Raw genomic sequence first — 23,504 nt, forward strand, 5'->3', positions numbered from 1 at the left:
TTTGAAGTAGATTAATCATACGGAAATTTTAGAAATTTCTTTTTACTTGAAAGAGGCATTGTCTGAATTTAGTTCTGTGGTCTAGATATGTTTGTTAGTTCGTTAGTAGTGAAAATATGCTGGCATGTAATAGATAATCCCTATTTCATCCCCCTCCATAGGATGACAATAATCTGTTAAAACAGCAACTTAAAGATTTCCAGAATCACCTTAACCATGTGGTTGATGGTTTGGTTCGTCCAGAAGAAGTGGCAGCTCGTGTGGATGAGCTAAGAAGAAAACTGAAATTAGGAACTGGGGAAATGAAGTAAGGAAAAAGCAAGACCTCCAAGTCTAGAGTGGGCCTCACAACTTGAGAGTTGTGAGTGTGAGGTTCAATGATAAACTCACCTTTCTAAGTTCTGTTAATGGCAAATTTCTTTTGTAAGGTTCTCCTTATGAAGTTTTCATGACTGAGACAAAAGATTGTTTAATTTATTTGTCTGCCACTGATTGTTTTTACATTTTGGATCTTTTTTTTGGTATTTAAGAGTAATATTTGGTATTTAAGAGTTATTGTTTCTTGAAAGTTAATTATATATGGTCAGGAAGTAGAGCCACATTATACATTTTAAATAGAGAAGAAACATCAAAAGAAAACATAATTATTTCAAATATATGAAATGGACATTTATTCTTGGAGCAAATATTGTTAGCCTGATATGAGCCTATGTTTTCAGAGTGGCAGCAGTCATTTGATAAAGCAATAATTTGCGCTTAGGAGATGGTCAGTAAATTGCTATAGATTGACACCAGTCCCTGCACACAGCTTTTTACTCTGGAGCTAAAGTTAATAGCATGTTTGCAGCCAGCATCAAAAATTAAATGTCACATTTATACCATTTTTCCCCCTCCTTACTAGCATCCATAGTCCTTCAGATGTCTTAGGGAAAAGTCTTGCTGATTTACAGAAACAATTCAGTGAAATTCTTGCACGCTCCAAGTGGGAAAGAGATGAAGCACAAGTTAGAGAGAGAAAACTCCAAGAAGAAATGGCTCTGCAGCAAGAGAAACTGGCAACTGGACAAGAAGAGTTCAGGCAGGCCTGTGAGAGAGCCCTGGAAGCAAGAGTAAGACAAGGGCAAGAGGCACCTGGAGGGAAGTGTTTGGCAAATATTAATGTTTTTCAGCAAATTACAATGCTTCCTTTGTCATGTAAATACAACATAATTGTTGTTATTTTCACTTATAACAAGTCAAGCTGGGTGTGACTAAAACTCAACCCTGAATGTGGTTATAATGTCAAAGTCAGGCTTGTTTGTGACATTGTGTTTTCCTTGATTTAGAAGCAAAGGCAAGTTATTTTATAACAGGCAGGTAAATAATGCCACATTCCTAGAGTATGGTGTGTTGCCAGAATCTGGTATTTTTTGATGTGATGATTTTAATGAAGAGGCAAACATTCCAATGACTCCTAGAGATCGTTCAAGATAAAACCATTCCTGACAACTCATTAGTAAAAAATTAAGTTACAGCCTGTTGTAAAATGGGTGATAATTCTATAAAAAGTTTTTATTTTGCTTAAAACATATTTTGCCTAAAAATCATTCTTGAAATTGTATTTCTTCACAGATGAATTTTGATAAGAGGCAACATGAAGCAAGAATCCAGCAAATGGAGAATGAAATTCACTATTTGCAAGAAAATCTAAAAAGTATGGAGGAAATCCAAGGCCTTACAGATCTCCAACTTCAGGAAGCTGATGAAGAGAAGGAGAGAATTCTGGCCCAACTCCGAGAGTTAGAGAAAAAGGTAGGGGAGACTTAGAAAATGAGACACATAAGTACCTGCTGCCAGTGTCCTGCCCACTGGCAACTAGGTCAGCTGAGATGGGTGTGATCTGTAGTCACCTCTGGCTGCATTGCTGGCACAGTGCTGAACCTGACCTAGGTGGGACCTGGATGCATGTCATTGAATCAAGAAGCTAAGACCATGTGTTGTGGTAGATGGAAACGAGAATTGAGAATGTAAGGAGTGACTTTCAAGTTAATTAGGTGGTACTTAACAAATGATATTGGGAGGAGTTTGACTCCTTTGAAACCTCTTGTCCAGTTGGATACATCCATGGGAAATTACTTTTAAACTCCTCATCATCCTTTCTAATACCCCTGCCTCTCTTTAATGGCTTTTCTCCATTCCACCTCAACCATCTACTCCCATTGTCACATTCTGGACTTTGTCAAGTTTAAAAATTGCACCCACCTCTGAAATCACAAACTGAAGTGTCTTGCTCTGATCATAACCGCTTATCTTGCTGGTATCCACACACTTAAAATTTGTCAGCCTTATTGAGCTTCCAGTTCATTAGCCTCACCCCCACCTTTGCTATCTGTTAAGCCCTTGTCTTTACTTTCTTACTTGTCCAACTTAAATTTTGTGGTCTACCAACTATAACTTTTTTTTTTTTAACAAATATCCTCAAGTTCCTTGCCCTTTTCTACTGTTTTATTTCCCTGACAAAACTGAAGCTCTCTGCTTTCTTTGGGCCAGCACTTCCACTGGTTGTTCCTGGAGAAAAAAGTCACCATCCAGTATTGTGGTGTCATTATAAACTCATAGTTACCAATCTCAAATAGACAATATGACCCTTTTCTGTGGTGAGCTTCCTCTCCCATGCCTCACTGTTTCACACCTTCTCATTCCTCACACCTGCTGTCTGCTTTCTCCCAGCCTCAGTGAATGCCTTGCTTCATCCTTCCCTGAGAACTCTTCAGTTTCCAAGTCCTATTGAATCCATCTCTAAAATGTATCTGGAATATATGTCCTTTTTCCTTCTCTGATGCTAGACCCTTGTGCTGTCATCATCTCTCTTCTGGATGACTACTGTGGCTGTCTGATCGATCTGTCACTTCTACTCATGACCCTGCTCCCCAGAGCAGCCAAGATGCTCTTTCTGAAATGTCAAGTGGCTGTAATCAGTCTCCCCTCCTGTAGCTTCCTTTGTTCTTAGGAGTAAGACCAAAATTCTTAAGCCTACGAGGCCTACATGATTTGCCTCTGTTTAGATCTCTCCATTTCTCACTGTGCTCCTCCTATCATTTTCTCAAAAATGCCAAATTCTTGTGCCACCATCCTATGCCCAGGGCCTGATTCAGTGATTTCAAAGGCAGGTTCATCCATGCCGTGGTGGTAGTGCTAGGAAATGTTTTTCCAATGAATGGATGAAGTTATGACCACTAAGATTCTTGACTAAGAAGACCTAGTACAAGTTTCTCACAGTTTTGAGATCTATTATTTATTCATTGGATATATGTGGAGTACCTCCTGTGTATCAAGTATTGTTCTAGGCAGCAGTGAACAGAGTCCCTACCCTCCTGGAGCTTACATCTGAATTCATTCCTGCCAAATGATTCATCTGTTTAATTAATATTTCTTTTATTTTAGAAGAAACTTGAAGATGCCAAATCTCAGGAGCAAGTTTTTGGTTTAGATAAAGAACTGAAGAAACTAAAGAAAGCCGTGGCCACCTCTGATAAGCTAGCCACAGCTGAGCTCACCATTGCCAAAGACCAGCTGAAGTCCCTTCATGGAACTGTTATGAAAATTAACCAGGAGCGAGCAGAGGTGAGTTCACATGTACAGAACAGGTTTCCATCAATGATGCTGCTGTCAAAAAACATGGCAACTTGTATTATTGATCTTGCTATAGACATTGGTTATTTTATAAACCACTGTAAAGTTGTCTGTTTTTCTTAAGACCTAAAGATTATATTCCCCCCATCACAACCCCCAATAATTTATTTTGTGCTGCCATGGATACTGCGTTCTACTGAGCCCTGAAAGGAATCATCAAATAAACATGCTATCCCTACCTTTAAGTGTAAGGATGCTTAGGGAGGTAGCTGTCAATATCTACCTGGACAAGGGTTCCTGAAGGATTGTTATATAATCCCTCTGAATCTCAAATTTTTCATCTCGTGCAGTCATGTGAAAATGTTACTTCATAGTATGACTCCTTACTGAGCTAATGTCTGTTACTGTGCTTTATAGGATGCAAATGCTAATGAGATTAAGATAGCAGATCATAGGAGACAAAAATCTAATGATGAGAGCCCAGAGAGACATAATCATGGAAGACGGTAGTAAAAGTAAAAAAGTAAAAAAATTAGCCTTTGTTCTTTCTGATGCCGCACCTTGGGGTTGGGAGCTGGGCAGGCTGCCCAACAATGGGAACAACACAGGAGAAGGTGGGGCTTGGATGTCCCTTTTCATGGACAGCCTGGTAGGCAATGTGATGAAAGCAGAAGAATCAATCCAAGAGGAAGAAATGAAGAAGACAACCTGTGATAGCAGTGGTGCCTTTCTCATACTTCTGTCCCAGTAGGAGTTGCAGGAAGCAGAGAGGTTCAGCAGAAAGGCAGCACAAGCAGCCAGAGATCTCACCCGAGCAGAAGCTGAGATCGAACTCCTGCAGAATCTCCTCAGGCAGAAGGGGGAGCAGGTCAGTGTTGGTACCCAGAGACCTCCTCTTTCTCAGATTCTTATCAGTTCCTAAAAGACAAAATTACTGTAGGTGATGTCTCAAAGAATTCTGAAGTGCAATCAATAGTTAATAAGTACTTTATCCTCTACTGTGTGCCAGGCTTGGTGCAGTTTCCAAGTAATGCAGTTTCCTCACTGGGAAAGTGTAAATAAATATAGAATCATAATCAAGTTGAAAGGATAAATGTGTTTGGGAAAGAATGAATTCATTGGCAACTTTGTATGTGTAATTTTTTTAAATAGTTTCGACTTGAGATGGAGAAAACAGGTGTAGGTACTGGAGCAAACTCACAGGTCCTAGAAATTGAGAAACTGAATGAGACAATGGAACGACAAAGGACAGAGATTGCAAGGCTGCAGAATGTACTAGACCTCACTGGAAGTGGTAAAGTATTGGGCTTTGATTTTTGGCAGTGGTTTTGTAGTCATAAAATTAAATCATCTCATTTGTTTTTTACCTTTAACTGTTACAAATCAAGTCCATGCTTGATTCAGAGAGCTGTGGTAATTAGCTTAATAAGTAAAATAAAATAAATCAGATAATTTTAAGAGTATTTTCTGTAAGTGTGTTACTGGGGGACTTGGTTGCCAAGATAAGAGTTTCGTATTTGTGGGCGAGCACAGTGGCTCATGCCTGTGATCATAGCACTTTGGGAGGCTGAGGTGGGTGGATCGCTTGAGGTCAGGAGTTCGAGACCAGCCTGGCCAACATGGTGACACCCTGTCTCTACTAAAAAATACAAAAATTAGCTGGGCATGGAGGTGGGCACCTGTAAACCCAGCTACTCGGGAAGGTGAGGCAGGAGAATCACTTGAACCTGGGAGGCAGAGGTTGGCAGTGAGCCGAGATTGGGCCGCTGCACTCCAGACTGGATGACGGAGTGAGACTCTGTCTCAAAAAAAGAAAAAAAGAGTTTTGTATTTGTAATTTCAAAATAAATAATGTTTACAAATCAGTTTGCCTTTTTTTGACTTACCAAAGGGCAGACTGAAAGTCAGCTTTGAGGAACTGATAAAATTAATTGGCTCTCTTAGAATCTCTTTTATATTTTGAGAAAGGAAGTAAGTGATTTCATATCAATTTCATAGAATGACTTTTCTTTACAGACAACAAAGGAGGCTTTGAAAATGTTTTAGAAGAAATTGCTGAACTTCGACGTGAAGTTTCTTATCAGAATGATTACATAAGCAGCATGGCAGATCCTTTCAAAAGACGAGGCTATTGGTACTTTATGCCACCACCACCATCATCAAAAGTAGGAATTCTGTGGTGTTGGGAATGTATACTGAATTTTCTTGAAGAAAGTGTGACATTGTCCCCTTCCCCAAATTTATGAACAGGTACCAAAAACAACATTTCTATGCTAAGCCGTGCATTGAGGTTCTGTAGCGTTTTTAATATTTGAGATGAAAATAGGGCCTTCTTGGGGAAGGTGACAGTTGACTGTTCATACTCGGGCGGTATGTGTTAGGGTCCTTGAATGTGGATGCTCTAAGGAGAAAAGGTGATTTGAGCCCAGAGAGCCTGCTGAAATGGACATAGAATTGTGCAGAGCCTCCGACAGAAAAAAAGGCACCTGGATTTCATGTCCTTTTAACGAACATTCATTCAGTGTTTACTGAAGCCTAGGCCAAGTGCTAGGTAGTGGTGGGGCATCACAATGAATGGTAAAGCCCCTGCTCTCAAAGAGTTCATTGGCCATGCCAGCATAATTGCAAAATGGTGACATACCTATGACAACAGACCTGACCTGTATTCTCTAGTTGCAGAGAGGTATTAAGGATTCATCTGATGGGAAGTTCAGGAAGGAATGCTTCACAAGCAGGGATGTGAAGTCAGCACTTAGCAAGCAGTGAGCGTTGGGCTTTTAGGAGGGAGGAAACAGCTCGTATGGAAGAGGAGAGTTATTGGCTTAGCAAAGACAAATAGCTTTGTGGGGCTAGAGGGTTTATAGGAACAGTGTCAGATGAAGCTGAAAAGTAGATTGGGGTCATGCTTTTGTTTTTCTTTTTGTTTTTTGAGACGGAGTCTTGCTGTGTCCCCCAGGCTGGAGTGCAGTGGTGTGATCTTGGCTCCTTGCAACTGCTGCCTCCGGGGTTCAAGCGATTCTCCGGTTTCTGCCTCCTGAGTAGCTGGGATTATAGGCATGCGCCACCACGCCTGGCTAATTTTTAGATTTTTAGTAGAGATGGGGTTTTGCCATGTTGGCCAGGCTGGTCTCAAACTCCTGACCTCAGGTGATCTGCCCACCTTGGCCTCCCAAAGTTCTGGGATTACAGGCGTGAGCCATCACCGTGCCCAGCCTGGAGTCATGCTTTTTTAAAAGGGCCTTAGAATCTCTTACACTTAATTATGTAGGCCATAATTATGTAGGCCATGAGAAATGGGTTGTGTACTAAAATGATCAGAGCTGTAGTTTAGGAATAATATTCTGGCTAGTATAGAGTCTATACTTATGGTAGGGTGAGCTTTCGGTGGGGCTCTTTAAACTGATTCAGGTAAAGAGTAGAAGCCAGAGCTAGATCAGTGGAGCTGGGAAAGAGGAGATGAGATTAAAGGATGTTAAAGAGAAATGGTTAGGGCCTGGGGCCTGAATGTGGGAAGTGAGGAGAAGACTGGGGCCTGAATGTTGAAAGTGAGGAGAAGACTATAGGCTGTATTCATCCAAAGCAGAGGGGCCTGGTGCTATCCTGCTAGAATCAGCCGATGAGCAATAGTCAGGGAGAAGCAGCTCAGACACACTAGGTTCTCAGGGCTGTGTAGACTTAACCAGACCCCTGAAGAGCAGAATCTTAGATTCTCCCAGCAATCCTAAAGGAAGCCAACTCCTTGGTACAACCAGAGCTGGAGGTGGAAGCAGTATAAATTAGAGCAAAACATATAAGCCTGAGCTGGGTGAGGGTTTAGAGGATGTACCTACAGACTGAGAAGGAGAAGGAGGGTAGCAGAGTAGAGCTTTAAAGCCATGCCAAGCTCCCAGGACCACAGAAGACTGGTGACCCCAGATTTCTTCGAAGTTCACTGGTTTCCTTTGCCTCAGTCACTGGGCCATCAAGGATGAGGTTAAAAACAAAACAAAACAAAAAACCACTAGGAAAAATGACTACAGAGAGAACAGAGGCTGACACCCGGGAGTCTCATCACTATGGAGAACTTATTTTCATTTCTCTCTTGGGGAGTTGCTGCATAAAATTAACCCAGTCAAACAGCTAGATAACATGCTTTTTCCATTTTGGTATGGCCAAGGACTTGTGAGTTCTAGAAAATTGTACCAAAAGAGAGGATAGGAGATGGATGTTTTAAAATGGCTTTTGAAAGGATAAATAGACATTAATTTGTTTGCTTTCACCACACTTTGAGCCCTTCACTTTCACAGACCAGTCTGATGTGACCCCAGCCATTACCCACATAGCCCTCCTTTCTGCATGGCTTCCCTGACCCTGCCATGTCGATCAAGTCCAGAGGGATGTTAATAAGCTGAATTGTGTATGGAACTGCAGTTTATGTGACCATGTAATCACCTCACTTCTGTGAAAAATAAGGATAATGAAAAGAAGCCAAGTTCTTTCTCAACCTTGCTACATCTCAACTTTGCTGTAGACTTTGACGTTTCTTAAAATCAGCCTTTCCATTTATAATAGATAGTGTGCTCTGCTGTCATTTGTTTTAGGTTTCCAGCCATAGTTCCCAGGCCACCAAGGACTCTGGTGTTGGCCTTAAGTACTCAGCCTCAACTCCTGTTAGAAAACCACGCCCTGGGCAGCAGGATGGGAAGGAAGGCAGTCAACCTCCCCCTGCCTCAGGATACTGGGTTTATTCTCCCATCAGGAGTGGGTTACATAAACTGTTTCCAAGTAGAGGTAAGTCAAATCACATAGGAAAGTTGCATTTCTCTTGCCCGTTTAATAACCTTTTACTGATTCTCTGAAACCCCTAAGACACAATCCAGACTCCTTAGCTAGCTCCATGAGGTCTTCTGTGATCTGGTCTTGGCCAGCGACCTCTTGTCGTTGTTTTAAACCCTGTCTGGAATGTCCTTCCTCCTTCCCTTCCCATGGTGATGCCTACTCATCCTTCAGTGAGACCTAGGTCCTCAAACAATGCTCCTAAATGGAGCCTTCTTCCACCCTGCTTCACCCAGGCTGACTAAGCAGCCTCTTTGACTGTACTGGAGCATGGTGTCTTGTGTCCTTGCATCACGGCATTAATCTCATCCTCCTAAAATGAAGTGTTACGGGTCTGTCTTCCAAAGCTCCAGAGGAAGAGTCAGACCTGAGTAAATCTTTTTCACTTATTAGCTGTGTGGTCTTAGGCTAATTATTTAGCTGCTGTGAAACTGTTAATCTGTAAAATGTGAATACTACCTTCTGAGAATTTGTTCATTCAGAAACTTTTTTTTGTTTTTTGTTTTTTTTTTTGAGAGGGAGTCTCGCTCTGTCACCCAGGCTAGAGTGCAGTGGCACAATCTTGGCTTACTGCAACCTCCGCCTCCTGGAATCAAGCAATTCTCTCTCCTGTTTCAGCCTCCCGAGTAGCTGGGATTACAGGCGTGCACCACCATGCCTGGCTAATTTTTATATTTTTAGTAGAGATGAGGGTTTCACCATATTAGACAGGCTGGTCTCGAACTCCTGACCTCAAGTGATCTGCCTGCCTCGGCCTCCCAAAGTGCTGGGATTACAGGCGTGAGCCACCGTATGTGTCCAGGAAGTGCTTATTGACTGCCTGCTGTGTGCTAGGTTCTCTGTTGTCAGTGATCAGCAAACATATTTCCTGGTTTTAGGGCAGATAAGTTAGTAAGCTATCACGTTGGAGAGTGTTACATGTCATGACAGTGGTAAACACTGAGTGCTGTAAGATCTTGTATGTAGCATGAATTAGATACCCAGATGGTCACTTAATAAATTAATGAATAAATTAGCAAATGCAGAAACAAACCAACAGATAAACATAAGAAAAACTCAAGTATCAGCCATAGAAAATACTTTGAATCCATGTTTTGAGCTGCTTTTCAAAAATAGTTTTGACCTTTTTTTCAGAGTTTTATTCTCACATCTGCAGTATCTTGGCTTAAATGCTGCTGTTCTCTACTAAATTTGTTTACCTGGTAAACCATGGGGGTAAAACACTCTTTTGTTGAATAAACTCTTCTGTTTATTTCTTTGAAGATGCAGACAGTGGAGGAGATAGTCAGGAAGAGAGTGAGCTGGATGACCAAGAAGAACCCCCATTTGTGCCTCCTCCTGGATACATGATGTATACTGTGCTTCCTGATGGTTCTCCTGTACCCCAGGGCATGGCCCTGTATGCACCACCTCCTCCCTTGCCAAACAATAGCCGACCTCTCACCCCTGGCACTGTTGTTTATGGCCCACCTCCTGCTGGGGCCCCCATGGTGTATGGGCCTCCACCCCCCAACTTCTCCATCCCCTTCATCCCTATGGGTGTGCTGCATTGCAACGTCCCTGAACACCATAACTTAGTAAGTGGAAAGACATACAACTCTCTTTCCACACTGCTTCCATGGGTGACTGATAAGGTTATATACTTAATGAGTTGACCTATTTATGACTGGATTATATGGCAAAGTGTGTTTGTAAGGCTGATGTTTAGAACTGTGCAAGCATTCTCTTATTAAAATTCTCTTATAAAAGCAGTGGCATGTGCCTATAATCCGAGCTACTCAGGAGACTGAGACAAGAGGATTGCTTGAGCCTAGGAATTCAAGGCCAGCCCCGGTAACAGCAAAAAACAAAAACCAAAAAAACAAAAATACCATGTACAGGAGTTAGGGTCTCAGGCCAGTCTACAAACCTGGGTTAGCCATTTAATAACAAATGTTTTCAGTCCAGAAATTTACCGTTTTTACAAAGCTTATGTATTTTTCTATTGACAAGTGTTATATTAATGTGTATGTATATATTCACTTACTAGTGCCTGTACTTGTACACATACATATATGTATAATATGAGTGTATACACATGTATGTGCACGTGTATGCACACAGGTATGGACAGCATACAGTAAGGTTTTGGTGGGGATTATCTCTAGGTAGGATTTATTTATTATTTATTTTCATAGTTTATATTTCGGTGGGGATAAGGTTTTGGGGATTATCTCTAGGTGGTGGGATTTATTTATTATTTTCATAGTTTATATTTTATTGTACACAATATTTTGTATTCTGTTTTTCCTACTTAATGTTATAAGCATTTGTCCATGGTTTTACAAATGTCTTTAAACAATATTTTAATGACTGTACAACATTTCTATATTTGTAGGTACTGTAGCTGACTGTAAATTCTTACTGTATCTCTTAGGCTAGATTCTAAGAAATAATTATTTCCTAATTACTAGATTACTTCCTTTTTCTTTTTTCTTCTTCTTTTTTTTTTTTTTTTTTTTTGAGACGGACTTGTTCTCTTTCGCCCAGGCTGGAGTGCGGTGGCGTGATCTTGGCTCACTGCAACCTCCGCCTCCCGGGTTCAGGCAATTCTCCTGCCTCAGCCTCCCAAGTAGCTGGGATTAGAGGCATACGCCACCACGCCTGGCTAATTTTTATATTTTTAGTATAGATGGGGGTTTCACCATGTTGGCCAGGCTGGTCTCGAACTCCTGACCTTGAGTGATCGCCTGCCTGGACCTCCCAAAGTGCTGGGATTACAGGCATGAGTCACTGCGCCCAGCCTCATTAGATTACTTTCTGACTTTTTGGTTCTAAAGAAATAAAATGGAATCTAAGCTCCTCCTTCAGACTCAGAACACCTGGAGTTTTTTCCTTCCTGTCTTGGCAGATTGAGTGGAAGATAAACTAGGGCACATGTCAAGTCACCAGTCCCATTGTAATAGGTCAGACTAGTTTTAGAGGGTCTGTGTGCATTTACAAGTTTAACTGTAGTAGTCACTCACATTCTTTTGCAGTTTTTCTTGCACATTGTAATTTGTAACAATTTCTTTCTATTCAGCATTTTTCTATAATCTCTTAAACGGGTTCTTTTACTCTCCAAACTTACCTGGCTGTTTATATAGTTTCTCAGGTGCACTTTTATACTTCCCTTCGTTTGCATGTGTTACTTCTTCAGCCTAGGTCTTTCCCCTTCCGTTCGTTCTTCAAAACCCAGGCAAAACACCTCTTCCTCTGAGCAGCCTTCTCAGAACTTTTCTCCCATGTGGCCAGAGGAAGGAGAGACTTCTGTCTATCTCTTCTGCTAGACCCCGAACTCTTTGGAGGCAGAGGTTATCCACAAGAGGCTTGGCAAATGTTTCTCAGTCATAGTTGGACTGTTTGAAAAATTAAAGGTTCTATTTGTCTGTCAGTTTCATCCGTGACATTTAACTTTTTATACCAAAGTCTTAGAATCTACCATCATTTTTTGGGCCATTGATACCACTTTAACCACAGTTAATTTCAGCTTTTGGCAGGAAAGAGAGGAAACATCCTGTGATGTTTCAGCACTGCATTTTTTTCCCCATCTCATTCAGGAGAATGAAGTTTCTAGATTAGAAGACATAATGCAGCATTTAAAATCAAAGAAGCGGGAAGAAAGGTGGATGAGAGCATCCAAGCGGCAGTCGGAGAAAGAAATGGAAGAACTGCATCATAATATTGATGATCTTTTGCAAGAGAAGAAAAGCTTAGAGTGTGAAGTAGAAGAATTACATAGAACTGTCCAGAAACGTCAACAGCAAAAGTAATTAATATATTTTTTATAATTCAGACAAATACGATATTAGTTCATTAATGCTGTCGAACAGAACTTTCTATAATCTTGGAATGTTCTTGATCTTCTGTCCAAAACAGTAACCACTAGCTCAGTGTGGCTGTTGAGCACTTGAAATGTGGCTGATGGAGCTGAGGAACAGAATTTAATTTCAATTAATTTAATAGCCACATATTGAGTACCATATTGAGCAATACAGGTCTGAGTTCTTTTGGCCAATAATACAAATCAGCTCTTATTGTAGTCCCTCTTGGAGAGTGGTATAACCATTTCCCCTCTCCAGTTACCCTAGCTAAAAATACAGCAGGGGTTCTCAACTCTTTCTTTTCCATTACTCTCCTGTGCTTCCAGTTGGTCTCTAAATCCTGCTGACTGCATCCAGAGAGCTCTCAAACTGGTCCCTTTCTGTCATCTCCCCTTCTCTAGCTTTTAATTAGTCTCATCCTAGCGATTGTAATAGTTTCCACACTGGCCTTCCATGTCTTCTCTCTTGGTCTACGCTGTATCTTGACACACTGCAAATCTGACTGTTCCACTTTCCCATGTGATTCTCAGTCCCATCAGAATATACACGACCCTTCTCCATCTGAAATCCACCCGTCTTTTTCTTTTATCACAGTATTTGGTCTGGCTCACTACTTTCCTGTGGTTTCCTCAAACACCACGTTTTCTCCTGCCTCTACACCTTTGCATGTACTGTCTTCTCCCTGCTGACCCCCTTACCTAACTCCAACTTGTCTTCAAAATAAAGGTCAGAGATCCCCTCTCTTTTTTTTCTCATTAAAAGCCTATTTCTTCTCAGGTGCCCACAATTCAAGGTTAGCAACCTTGGTCATAGCACTGTTCACACAATGTTCTGGGGAGCCCAGGAGCTCCTTGAAGGCAGTAGCTGGACCTCCATCTCTGTGTCCCAGCACCTGTCATAGGGTCACTTAGTGAATGCAGCATCTGTTGATTGGGTTAATTATGCAAAAGCCTATCTTTTGCAGTAGTCCATGAATTATGACAGTTCCCCAGTTTTTGTCATTTAACCCAGACTGGCCCAGACCCCAGGGTGGTAGGGAGGCCTGCAGAGGACACAAGTAAGTAAGACGTGGTCACTGCCATCTAGCAGCAGACATCTGACTAATAGTCCTGGCAAGTGAAAGCAAGGGCCACACCTAAAAGATAGGGGCTAGATGTTTGAAGGTTAGGCAGATGGTTATGTCTGTTATTTTTGTGGGTATACACATTGGGGAATGGAATTTTTTTACTTTGAGGTATTTTGGAGGGAGATGATAGGGTGGTAGGATTGCCACTTCTTTTCATAGTTATAAAAGTGTAATAAATACTATTCTAGGAAGTTTGGATAACACAAAAATGTCCCAAGAAGAAAGTAAAAATCATATGTATGCCTTCATTTAAAGATAATCTGTTAAATGTTGAATTTATTTTCATATTTTTCTGTCATGCAGTCATACATAGCTAATCTAATTTTCAAATAATTTCATCATGTTAGCCTTAAGATATTGAATTGTGTGTCACAGTTTTTGATGTGTCAAATGTTGTCACCAGAGTTTTACTTCAGCCGAATGGAATAAATCACAAAATCAGGTAGTCTTCAAGGGCAGCCTATGAACTGCCCTTGAAGGATAGTTTTGAGGGAATGGATGAATATTGTGGTAGTGGTTTGCTTTATTTTTATACCTCAAAAGAATAGAAGTATCAACATTTTCTTGGTCAAGTGCTGACAACACAATAATCTTTGTTGTTATATTTAAAAGGGCAAACAATTCCATGTCATGCATTTTACATATTATGCATTTATTGCCAATAGGAATTCCATGTTTAATAAGATGGTAAACCTAGACCTTGAACAAAATCAAATGTAGCAGTCTTTCTTACCTATTCTCATATAAAATTAGAAAATCATTGTAGATCTTTTTAGTAGTTAGGCTACAAGTATCTGTATTGTCTACATTTAACATTTTTTAATGGGTGTATATATTATTTTTTAGGGACTTCATTGATGGAAATGTTGAGAGTCTTATGACTGAACTAGAAATAGAAAAATCACTCAAACATCATGAAGATATTGTAGATGAAATTGAGTGCATTGAGAAGACTCTTCTGAAACGTCGCTCAGAGCTCAGGGAAGCTGACCGACTCCTGGCAGAGGCTGAGAGTGAACTTTCATGCACTAAAGAAAAGGTTTGTCTTCTTGTGGTTTGGGGTGTGAGCTCAGTGTGGGTGAGTCAGCTTACTGTCCACCTGAAGGATTAGAAAGAGAATGTGTGTGATAAGAGGACAGTTGTCCAAGTCAGACAGCCAGGTTCCAGGCTGGACTCTGCTAGTTAAGAAGATGTGAGAATTTATGCAAGTCATATAAGTCCCCTGGCTTTGCTTTTCTTATCTATAAATTCAGGCTAAGAATACGTAGGCTTTTCGGCATGGATTAAATAAAACAGCGTATTTAAAATTCCTGAAGTTACTTAGTTCCTAGCACACCCCACGTCCTTATCCTGTGTGTATCTTTTATATTTAATTATTTGGGTTCTGCTACCTGTGTTTTTTTAAATAGGTCAATCTTTATATTCTTATTAAGCTACAATGGACCTCACAAGTATTACTTTGGTCTTCAGGTTGATAATGATACAAAATATTTTTTGGTCAGAGATAATTTTCTTTTTTTTGTTTGAGATGGTGTCTCGCTCTGTCACCCAGGCTGGAGTGGAGTGGCGCAATCTTGGCTCACTGCAACCTCCGCCTCCCGGGTTCAAGCGATTCTCCTGCCTCAGCCTCCTGAGTAGAGACGGGGTTTCACCATGTTGGTCAGGCTGGTTTTGAACTCCTAACCTTGTGATCCTGCCTCAGCTTCCCAAAGTTCTGGGATTACAGGCGTGAGCCACTGCGCCTGGCCCGATAATATTCTTTAGACCACAACACAGAGGGAAGTTGGGGAGAAAAAGGAGTTACCTTTTATTGAGCCACTGCTGTGGCTACACATGGCCATTTTGTAAATGTTTCATTTAACCTTCCTGGCAGCCCTGTGTAGATGATGTTAGCTTGGTTTACTGATGTAGCTCAGAGAGGCTCATTACTGGCCCAGAGTCACATAGCCAAGGGCTCTTTTAGTTAGATGAGAATTCCAGGATGAAAAGAGTTCCTTACCCACATGAAACACCTCAGGAACTATTATTTGTATTTTGCTATTTCAACATGAATCTATTTAAATTAAAAGCAGTCTATTACCTAGGAACTAAATTATTTATTAAAGAAATTCTGTGAGTAATTAAGAATGGAAAAAGTCCTTTTCAGATGAGCTGTTCCTTCTGTTGTCATATGTTGGATTACTGTGAGAGAAAATAGATGTGAGCAGAACTAGAGGAAAAAAAATCACTGGTATAATAATATATAATAAGATATTTTGATAATATATCAAAATATCACTGGTATATTTTGATTATAAATTTTGGTATATTTTGGTTATATATTAATATATATAGGTATAGATATATAAAATCATCAAAAGAAAATTGATGGCAGTGGTAGTAGGCAGAGGTAGTAAGTCAACCAAGGCTGGTAAGTTCTTTCACCTTCATCCTCCCAAAATGACTCAGGGAGGCAGCTTGGTAAGAAGGAGGAGGAGAGAGAAAGTAGTGGTGTTTTGGAAGGAGTGTGCCAGACATGTTAAAACCTGACATAGAAGGAGACAAAAAACTATTTGGTGGCTTTTCTGGAATGCATAGCCAGTTTTATCCAGTGCTTTGCTGGTGAAACTGACAGAAACAAGCTATCTGAAATGGAAAGACGTATGGTAAAATATGTAGCTCTCTGGGAGCTTGCCAACCCTTTTGCATCCACACAGATATTTAATAGGCAAATTTAACATACGGACTCCTCTGGCTTTAGTACAATGGCAGACTTCAGTTTTTTTTGGCTGAAGGTGAGTCACTGCTCAACCAAGTGCAAACCACACTCTATTTATTTTTGGAACTTTTGATGTCATTGTTTTAAGCATCTTATGTTAGGCAGAAAAAGAAACCAAGTTGATTAAAACAAATGTGTTTTTACCAAATCTTATATAGGAAGATTTTAAACATTTGCAAAGTATTTAATGTTTGTGTTTGTCAGCCGTAATTACATTATCACCAGATCAATGCATTTTTACTTCGCTTGATAATAACTATAGAGTGCAGCAAGAATTTCTGTGTGGAGGAAATCTTGGTAAAATCACTTCCTTCCCACTTAGTTGGGTAGATAGTTTTAATATTTAAAATGATATAATAGTATTACAGATTATTTTGAAATAAAAAGCATCTTTAGTTCCACTACTTTCAAATGACTGTATTTATTTTTATATAGTCTTTCTGTCTTTGTTGACACATGTAGTTTTACACAGTTGCTCTCACAGTGCTTATACCATTTTAAATTTATTTTTCTCAGCCAACATAATATTAACATTCTTCCGTGTTGCTACATTGTCATCTGATCATTTGAAAGGCTACACAGTATTCCACTTTGTTAATGCATTATCACTTAGCCTATTATTATTTGTCAGGTCTTATATTATTATACATTGAGCATTTTTATATAGTAGTTCTTTGCTTCTGAATTATTTACCGAGAATTAGAGTTACAGTGAATGGACATTTTTATGTCTTTCTGTACCATCTTGTTTTCCAAAAGAGCTGTACTGGTTTACATGGCCAGTAGCTGTGAGTGAGTATTGTAACTGAATGGCTTTTAATGACAGTTTCTTTTCTAGACAAAAAATGCTGTTGAAAAGTTCACTGATGCCAAGAGAAGTTTATTGCAAACTGAGTCAGATGCTGAGGAATTAGAAAGGAGAGCTCAGGAAACTGCTGTTAACCTCGTCAAAGCTGATCAGCAGCTAAGGTAGGTGGATTCCCTAAGCCGTTGATGTATACATTGAGATGAATGAAAAGTTTGCTTCTAAGGGGATAATAATTGGTTTATGATAAATAATGCATGGTAAGTCTACAGGACCTGGGGGGAATAAAGCAATGTGCTTTAGATCGCTCCAGGCTGATGCAAAGGATTTGGAGCAGCACAAAATCAAGCAAGAAGAAATCTTGAAAGAAATAAACAAAATTGTAGCAGCAAAAGACTCAGACTTCCAATGTTTAAGCAAGAAGAAGGAAAAACTGACAGAAGAGTAAGTAAGGCCTCTGTAGGGCTACAAGGGGTTTGTGCTGGAAGACAGCTCTGGGGTTCCGAGTCCCTTAGGATCTGCTCTAGTGTTGCTGGTGCTTTGTAGGCTTCAGAAACTACAGAAAGACATAGAGATGGCAGAACGCAATGAGGATCACCACCTGCAGGTCCTTAAAGAATCTGAGGTGCTTCTTCAGGCCAAAAGAGCCGAGCTGGAAAAGCTGAAAAGCCAGGTATGGCAATAGACACCTTGAAAAAACAACTGACACAGCACTTTATGATTATAAAAGTAATACATGTTTAATTGTAGAAAAGAATAAATGCGGCTATGTATTATAGTTGTTAAGCATGAAGTCTGAACTAAATTTGAATCCCAACTCAATACAATACTTCTGAATAAAAAAAGTGGGTCTCAAAACATGGTATACTCTATGAGATCATTTCTGTTAAATGCCTTTATCAACACTTATGGTTGTATTTTTAGTCAATACCAAAGTACAAAAGTGGTCATCTGATAAGGGGGGATTTTGAGTATTTTCTGTTGTCTTCCTTTTGCATATCTGCATGGTCTTCTTTTTTTTTTGTAAACAAATACGTATTGTCTTTAAAATTGCAACGAATTTTTAATTTTAAAAATGAATACATTTTAAAAATCTCTGACTAACTTCCATCACCAAGGATGTCAAAATGGAATTAGGGTATAAAAATAAAAGTTCTTGGAAAACTGTAACCTGAGGGATGATCATGATTATCATATTGTTGTTCTTACTGTGATCACTGTGATTTGAGTGGTTTTAAGTATGTGAGCTCAAGGTTTTCATTAGGCATTTCACCCTTGCACTCCTTGCCTGGCTTTTCTGACTCTTGGGGGCTAGGATATTAGCTCCTGATTTTACCTCACAACTAAATTATCTCCAGGTTAGCACTGAGGGCTGTATGGCCTTTGTCAAACTTACTCTTCCCTTTTCTTTAATACAGGTGACAAGTCAGCAGCAGGAGATGGCTGTCTTGGACAGGCAGTTAGGGCATAAAAAGGAGGAGCTGCATCTACTCCAAGGAAGCATGGTCCAGGCAAAAGCTGACCTCCAGGAAGCTCTGAGACTGGGAGAGACTGAAGTAACTGAGAAGTGCAATCACATTAGGGTGTGTTTTTTATTAGGGTTTTCTGAAGAGTCGTAGGACAGTGCTATAGGTTTACTTTGATGTATTTTCATTGCTTCTCCCCAAATGAAAATATAAATTCCTGAAATCTTGCCTCCTCTGTAAAATCAGTTTGGTGTTGTTACATATCCATGCAGTGGCTGTCATGTGTAGTTCCCCCTCTGTTGTTTTCTGGATATGCTCAAAGTTCTCCTGCCCCTGTACCTTTCTCATACCATTTCTTCTCCAGGAATTCCCTTTCTCCCCTATCACTAGCCAGATCCCACCTGTTTCTCATGGCGCAGCTTCATGCCACCTCCTCTTAGAAAACTTCTGGCCGGGTACAGTGGCTCACATCTGTAATCCCAGCACTTTGGGAGGCCAAGGCAGGCAGATCACGAGGTTAAGAGATTGAGACCATCCTGGCCAACATGGTGAAACCCCATCTCTACTAAAAATACAAAAATTAGCCAGGCATGGTGGCATGCGCCTGTAATCCTAGCTACTCGGGAGACTGAGATAGGAGAATTGCTTGAAATTGGGAGGTGGTTGGTTGCAGTGAGCCGAGATTGCACCACGGCACTCTTGAACCCGGGAGGCGGAGGTTGCAGTGAGCCGAGATCGTGCCACTGCACCCTGGCTGGTGACAGAGTGAGACTCAATTTCAAAAAAAAAAAAAAAGAAAACTTCTCTGACCTTTTTCTTTCTTCTGGAAGAAGGAGTTTCCTTCTTTTGAGTTTAGAAACACTCTATCTGCATGTTTCCTAGGGCATGAAGGCCTAGCCTTTTGTGATCATGTTTATCTTCCCTGCCTTACCACTCAACAAGGTACTAAGCCCCTCCAGAGCAGGAGCCATGTCTCAGTCAGGCTTTTCTCTCTATAGACGTTGCCTTGCTTACAGTAATGTTGCAAATATATTTAGATGAAGAGAATATGTTACTTTCTTCTATTATATAGAAATAGGTTTCTGTAAAATATAATGCTGTTCTTGACATAAAAGGCAAAAATGAGCTTGTTTCCAAATTAGAATTTCTATGATATAAAACAATAAATAACAGAACTTATTTTGAAGTAATTTTCATTTACAGTCACAGGAGGGAATAACTTTTTTTTTTTCAAACACAGGAAGTAAAATCTCTTCTGGAAGAACTGAGTTTTCAGAAAGGAGAACTAAATGTTCAGATTAGTGAAAGAAAAACTCAACTTACACTTATAAAGCAGGAAATTGAAAAAGAGGAAGAAAATCTTCAGGTTGTTTTAAGGCAGATGTCTAAACATAAAACCGGTAAGTTTAAAGGAAAACAATCATACAAAGTTTGAGGTTGGAAATGTCTGTATTACAAGTCACAGAAAAAATAACAAATGGCCAAAAAAACTTTAAAGTTTAACCTTACTGCTAATAAGCAAAGCAAGCAGGTTATAAAAGGAATATGATATTTTCTGCCATTTTAATTGATAAACTTTATTTAAAAGCAAAATAATCATGCTCATTGCTGATCAGAGTGTGCTGAAAGAAGAGCACTCACAGTCTATCAATTGAGGTATAAACTGGAACAATCTCCCAGTGTTTCAAGGCTCTTAAAATTCACACCTGTTGAACTAGTCAGCCCATTTCTACTCCTCCAGAAAGGGCAAGTATGTACATCGCAGCAATATTTATAATGACAAAATTTGGAAACAGGCTGGGTGTGGTGGTTCATGCCTATAATCCCAGCTCTTTGGGAGGCTGAGGCAAGAGGATTGCTTGAGCCCAGGAGTTCAAAACTACCTGGGCAATGTATGAGACCCCATCTCTACAAAAATATTCAAAAATTAGCGATGCACATTGATGTGCACCTATAGTCCCAGCTATTCAGAAGGCCAAGCAGGGAGGATCCCTTGAGCTCAGGAGATCAAGGCTGCAGTGAGCTATGATTATGCCACTATGCTTCAGCCTGGGAAACAGAGGAAGACCCTGTTCCACCACACCCCCCAAAAAATTGGAAACAGATGACCAATTTAAAAGCCATATTTTTAACCTTTAATGACATGCAAACATGACCATGAGAAGAATGAAAAAAAGTAGGTAAAAAATGAATATGGAGTATAGTCCCAGTTTATTTTAAAATGTGTGAGAGTGTGTGTGTGTGCGCGCGTGCTCACGCGCACACACATGCATTCTTAGAAGGAAATACATCAAAATGCTATTGTAAAAGTGATTTGGGGTGGTGAAATAATGGTGGGTTTTCATTTTTTTCTCTTATGCTTTTTTTTTGTATTTTCCAGCTTTTCTACAGTAAGCAAGTATCTCTATGATCAGAAAAAAAGTTAATATTTAAATATCTGTATTTCAAAGGCCAAAAAATTGTTATATAAATCTCAGTCTGTATTTCAAAGTATTTTTAATTTATTTTGATCAATTTTATATAAAATGCTTTTAGTTGATTCTTTTATGTAGAAGCAAATGCTTTGGAACCAGATCTTTGTTAATTAAATGTTTTTGTTAAAATGTTTGTCTGTTTATTTATTTATATAGAGATGGGATCTTGCTCTGTCAACCAGGCTAGTCTCAAACCCCTGGGCTCAAGCAGTCCTTACACCTCAGCCTGCCAAATGGCTGGGATTACAGGTGCGTGCTGCTGCACCTGGCTTGTTAAAATGTTTTTAACAAATTAAATAGTATTTAGCGATACTTTTAGAGAATTTTTTATTAAAAATAAAATTAGCACCATTAATTCAGCTCAACAAAATTTTTAAAATTGTCTTGTATTAGTCAATAGCATTGTTTTCTGTTTCATTTTGTAAATGTTTTCCAAGTTCATTTAATATCATGGACCATGCTTTGTTTCTATCCCTTAGAACTAAAGAATATTCTGGACATGTTGCAACTTGAAAACCATGAGCTACAAGGTTTGAAGCTACAACATGACCAAAGGGTATCTGAATTAGAGAAGACTCAGGTGGCAGTGCTAGAGGTAATGAACAAAGCCAGTGTACCCTTAAGAAACTGAAGTCTTTCTCATTTAAGATGTTTGAGTCCTCTTTTATCTGATTTAGGAGAAACTGGAGTTAGAGAATTTGCAGCAGATATCCCAGCAGCAGAAAGGGGAAATAGAGTGGCAGAAGCAGCTCCTTGAGAGGGATAAACGAGAAATAGAACGAATGACTGCTGAGTCCCGAGCTTTACAATCGTGTGTTGAGTGTTTGAGCAAAGAAAAGGAAGATCTCCAAGAGAAATGTGACATTTGGGAAAAAAAGTTGGCACAAACCAAAAGGTGAGAGCAAGAACAAATAAGCTTGCAGGATCACTTCTTCAGGCCAAAGCATTATAAACACACTATAAAAAATTTGGAAAATAGAGAAAAAGATAAAATACACCACAAACTTGGTATCATAATACATTTTGCCAGTTGCATTTTTTTGGAGAATTTCCTTCTAGCTTTTTTTTTTTTTGCTCAAAAGCATTTTTTTAAAATCTATTTTGTTTTTTTTAAGTAAAATGATACATGCTGGAAATAAATGGAGATATATATCTTGTTCATGGACCAAAAGACAACATTGTTAAAGATTTAGTTCTGTTCAAATTGATCTCTAGATTCAAAACAGTTAACAATTAAAATCTCAATAGCCTTTCCTTGTGGAAATTGACAAGCTGGTTCTAAAATTATATGAACCTAGAATCGAATTATTCTAAGACCTAGAATAGAATTTATACAATTTTTTAGGTATGACACCAAAACAACTTTTAGAAAGTAGAACAAAAATTTAGGACTAACACTACCTGATTTGTAACACTTTTATAAACCTGTAGTAATCAAAACACTGTGGTATTAGTGTAAAGATAAACACATAGATCAATGGAACAGAATAGAAAGTCTAGAAATAAACTGACATATATGTGAACAACTGATTTTGATAAAGATAAAAAGGCATCTTTTTCAGTAGAGAAAAGATGGTCTTTTAGAAAAATGTTGGCTGAAACAATTGGATATACAAAACCAAAAAAAGAATCTCAATTCATACCTCACTATGTATAATATATAAATATGAATTTAAAATGAGGCCAGGCACGTTGGCTCATGCCAGTAATCCCAGCATTTTGGGAGGCCGAGGCAGGAGGATCACTTGAGCCCAGGAGTTTGAGACCAGCCTAGGCAACATAGAAAGACCCTGTCTCTGCCAAAAAAAAAAAAATAATAATAAAAATAGCCAGGTTGGGAAGCTGAGGTGGGAGAATTGTTTGAGCCAGGGAGATTGAGGCTGCAGTGAGCCATAATGATACCATTGCACTCCAGCCAGGGTGACAGAGTGAGACCCTGTTTCAAAAAAAAAATATATATATATATACATATTTATTTTATATTTATATATAGGACCATAAACATATATGTAAAACCTAAATATAAAACTTCTAGAAGAAAACATAAAACATAGCAGAAAACTTTTGTGACCTTGGAGTGGGCAAAAATTCTTGGTATGACACCAAAAGCATGATCCATAAAATAATAAATTGATAAAATTAGACTTCAAAATTTAAAACATCTCCTCAAAAGACACAAGGTAATGAAAAGATATGTCACAGGTTGGGAAAAAAATATTTGCAACCCATGTATCTGATAAAGGACTTGTATTCAGAATACATGTATAAAGAACTCTCAAAACTCAATAAGAAGACAACCCAGTTATTTAAATGGGCAAAAGATTTGAATAGACATTTCATTACAGAAGATAAATGGATGGCAAATAAACACATGAAAAGATACGCAGGATAATTAATCATTAGAGAAATGCAAATTAAAACCACAGTGAGATATCACTACACACCTATTAGAACAACAGCCATACCAAATGTTAATATTAACCAGGAACTTTTTTTTTTTTTTTTTGAGATGGAGCCTCGCTCTGTTGCCCAGGCTGGAGTGCAGTGGCGCTATCTTGGCTCACTGCAAGCTCCACCTTCCGGGTTCACGGCATTCTCCTGCCTCAG

General features: G+C 39.3%; 1 protein-coding gene across 43 annotated transcripts in view; it reads left to right on the forward strand.

The window, feature by feature from the left end:
• CNTRL (centriolin) overlaps positions 1-23,504 on the forward strand; it is a 102,656-nt gene that overhangs the window by 65,525 nt on the left and 13,627 nt on the right. For 33 of the 43 annotated variants that reach the window (XM_047422667.1, XM_047422671.1, XM_047422669.1 and 30 more), the window contains 18 exons: positions 162-307; positions 902-1,109; positions 1,612-1,791; positions 3,424-3,603; positions 4,364-4,480; positions 4,765-4,906; positions 5,629-5,777; positions 8,193-8,382; positions 9,691-10,004; positions 12,006-12,214; positions 14,242-14,434; positions 16,991-17,121; positions 17,261-17,401; positions 17,504-17,630; positions 18,376-18,540; positions 19,664-19,823; positions 21,377-21,492; positions 21,575-21,792. In XM_047422667.1, the coding sequence (XP_047278623.1) occupies positions 162-307; positions 902-1,109; positions 1,612-1,791; positions 3,424-3,603; positions 4,364-4,480; positions 4,765-4,906; positions 5,629-5,777; positions 8,193-8,382; positions 9,691-10,004; positions 12,006-12,214; positions 14,242-14,434; positions 16,991-17,121; positions 17,261-17,401; positions 17,504-17,630; positions 18,376-18,540; positions 19,664-19,823; positions 21,377-21,492; positions 21,575-21,792 (3,086 nt within the window). Of the gene's footprint in view, positions 1-161; positions 308-901; positions 1,110-1,611; positions 1,792-3,423; positions 3,604-4,363; positions 4,481-4,764; positions 4,912-5,628; positions 5,778-8,192; positions 8,383-9,690; positions 10,005-12,005; positions 12,215-14,241; positions 14,435-16,990; positions 17,122-17,260; positions 17,402-17,503; positions 18,128-18,375; positions 18,541-19,663; positions 19,824-20,803; positions 21,027-21,053; positions 21,231-21,376; positions 21,493-21,574; positions 21,793-23,504 lie in introns of those variants that run through there. The other 10 variants (XM_047422692.1, XM_011518172.4, XM_047422694.1 and 7 more) reach the window with 5 other exon arrangements.

This window comes from Homo sapiens, chromosome 9 (genome assembly GCF_000001405.40).
Source record: "Homo sapiens chromosome 9, GRCh38.p14 Primary Assembly".
Taxonomy (NCBI): Eukaryota; Metazoa; Chordata; class Mammalia; order Primates; family Hominidae; genus Homo; species Homo sapiens.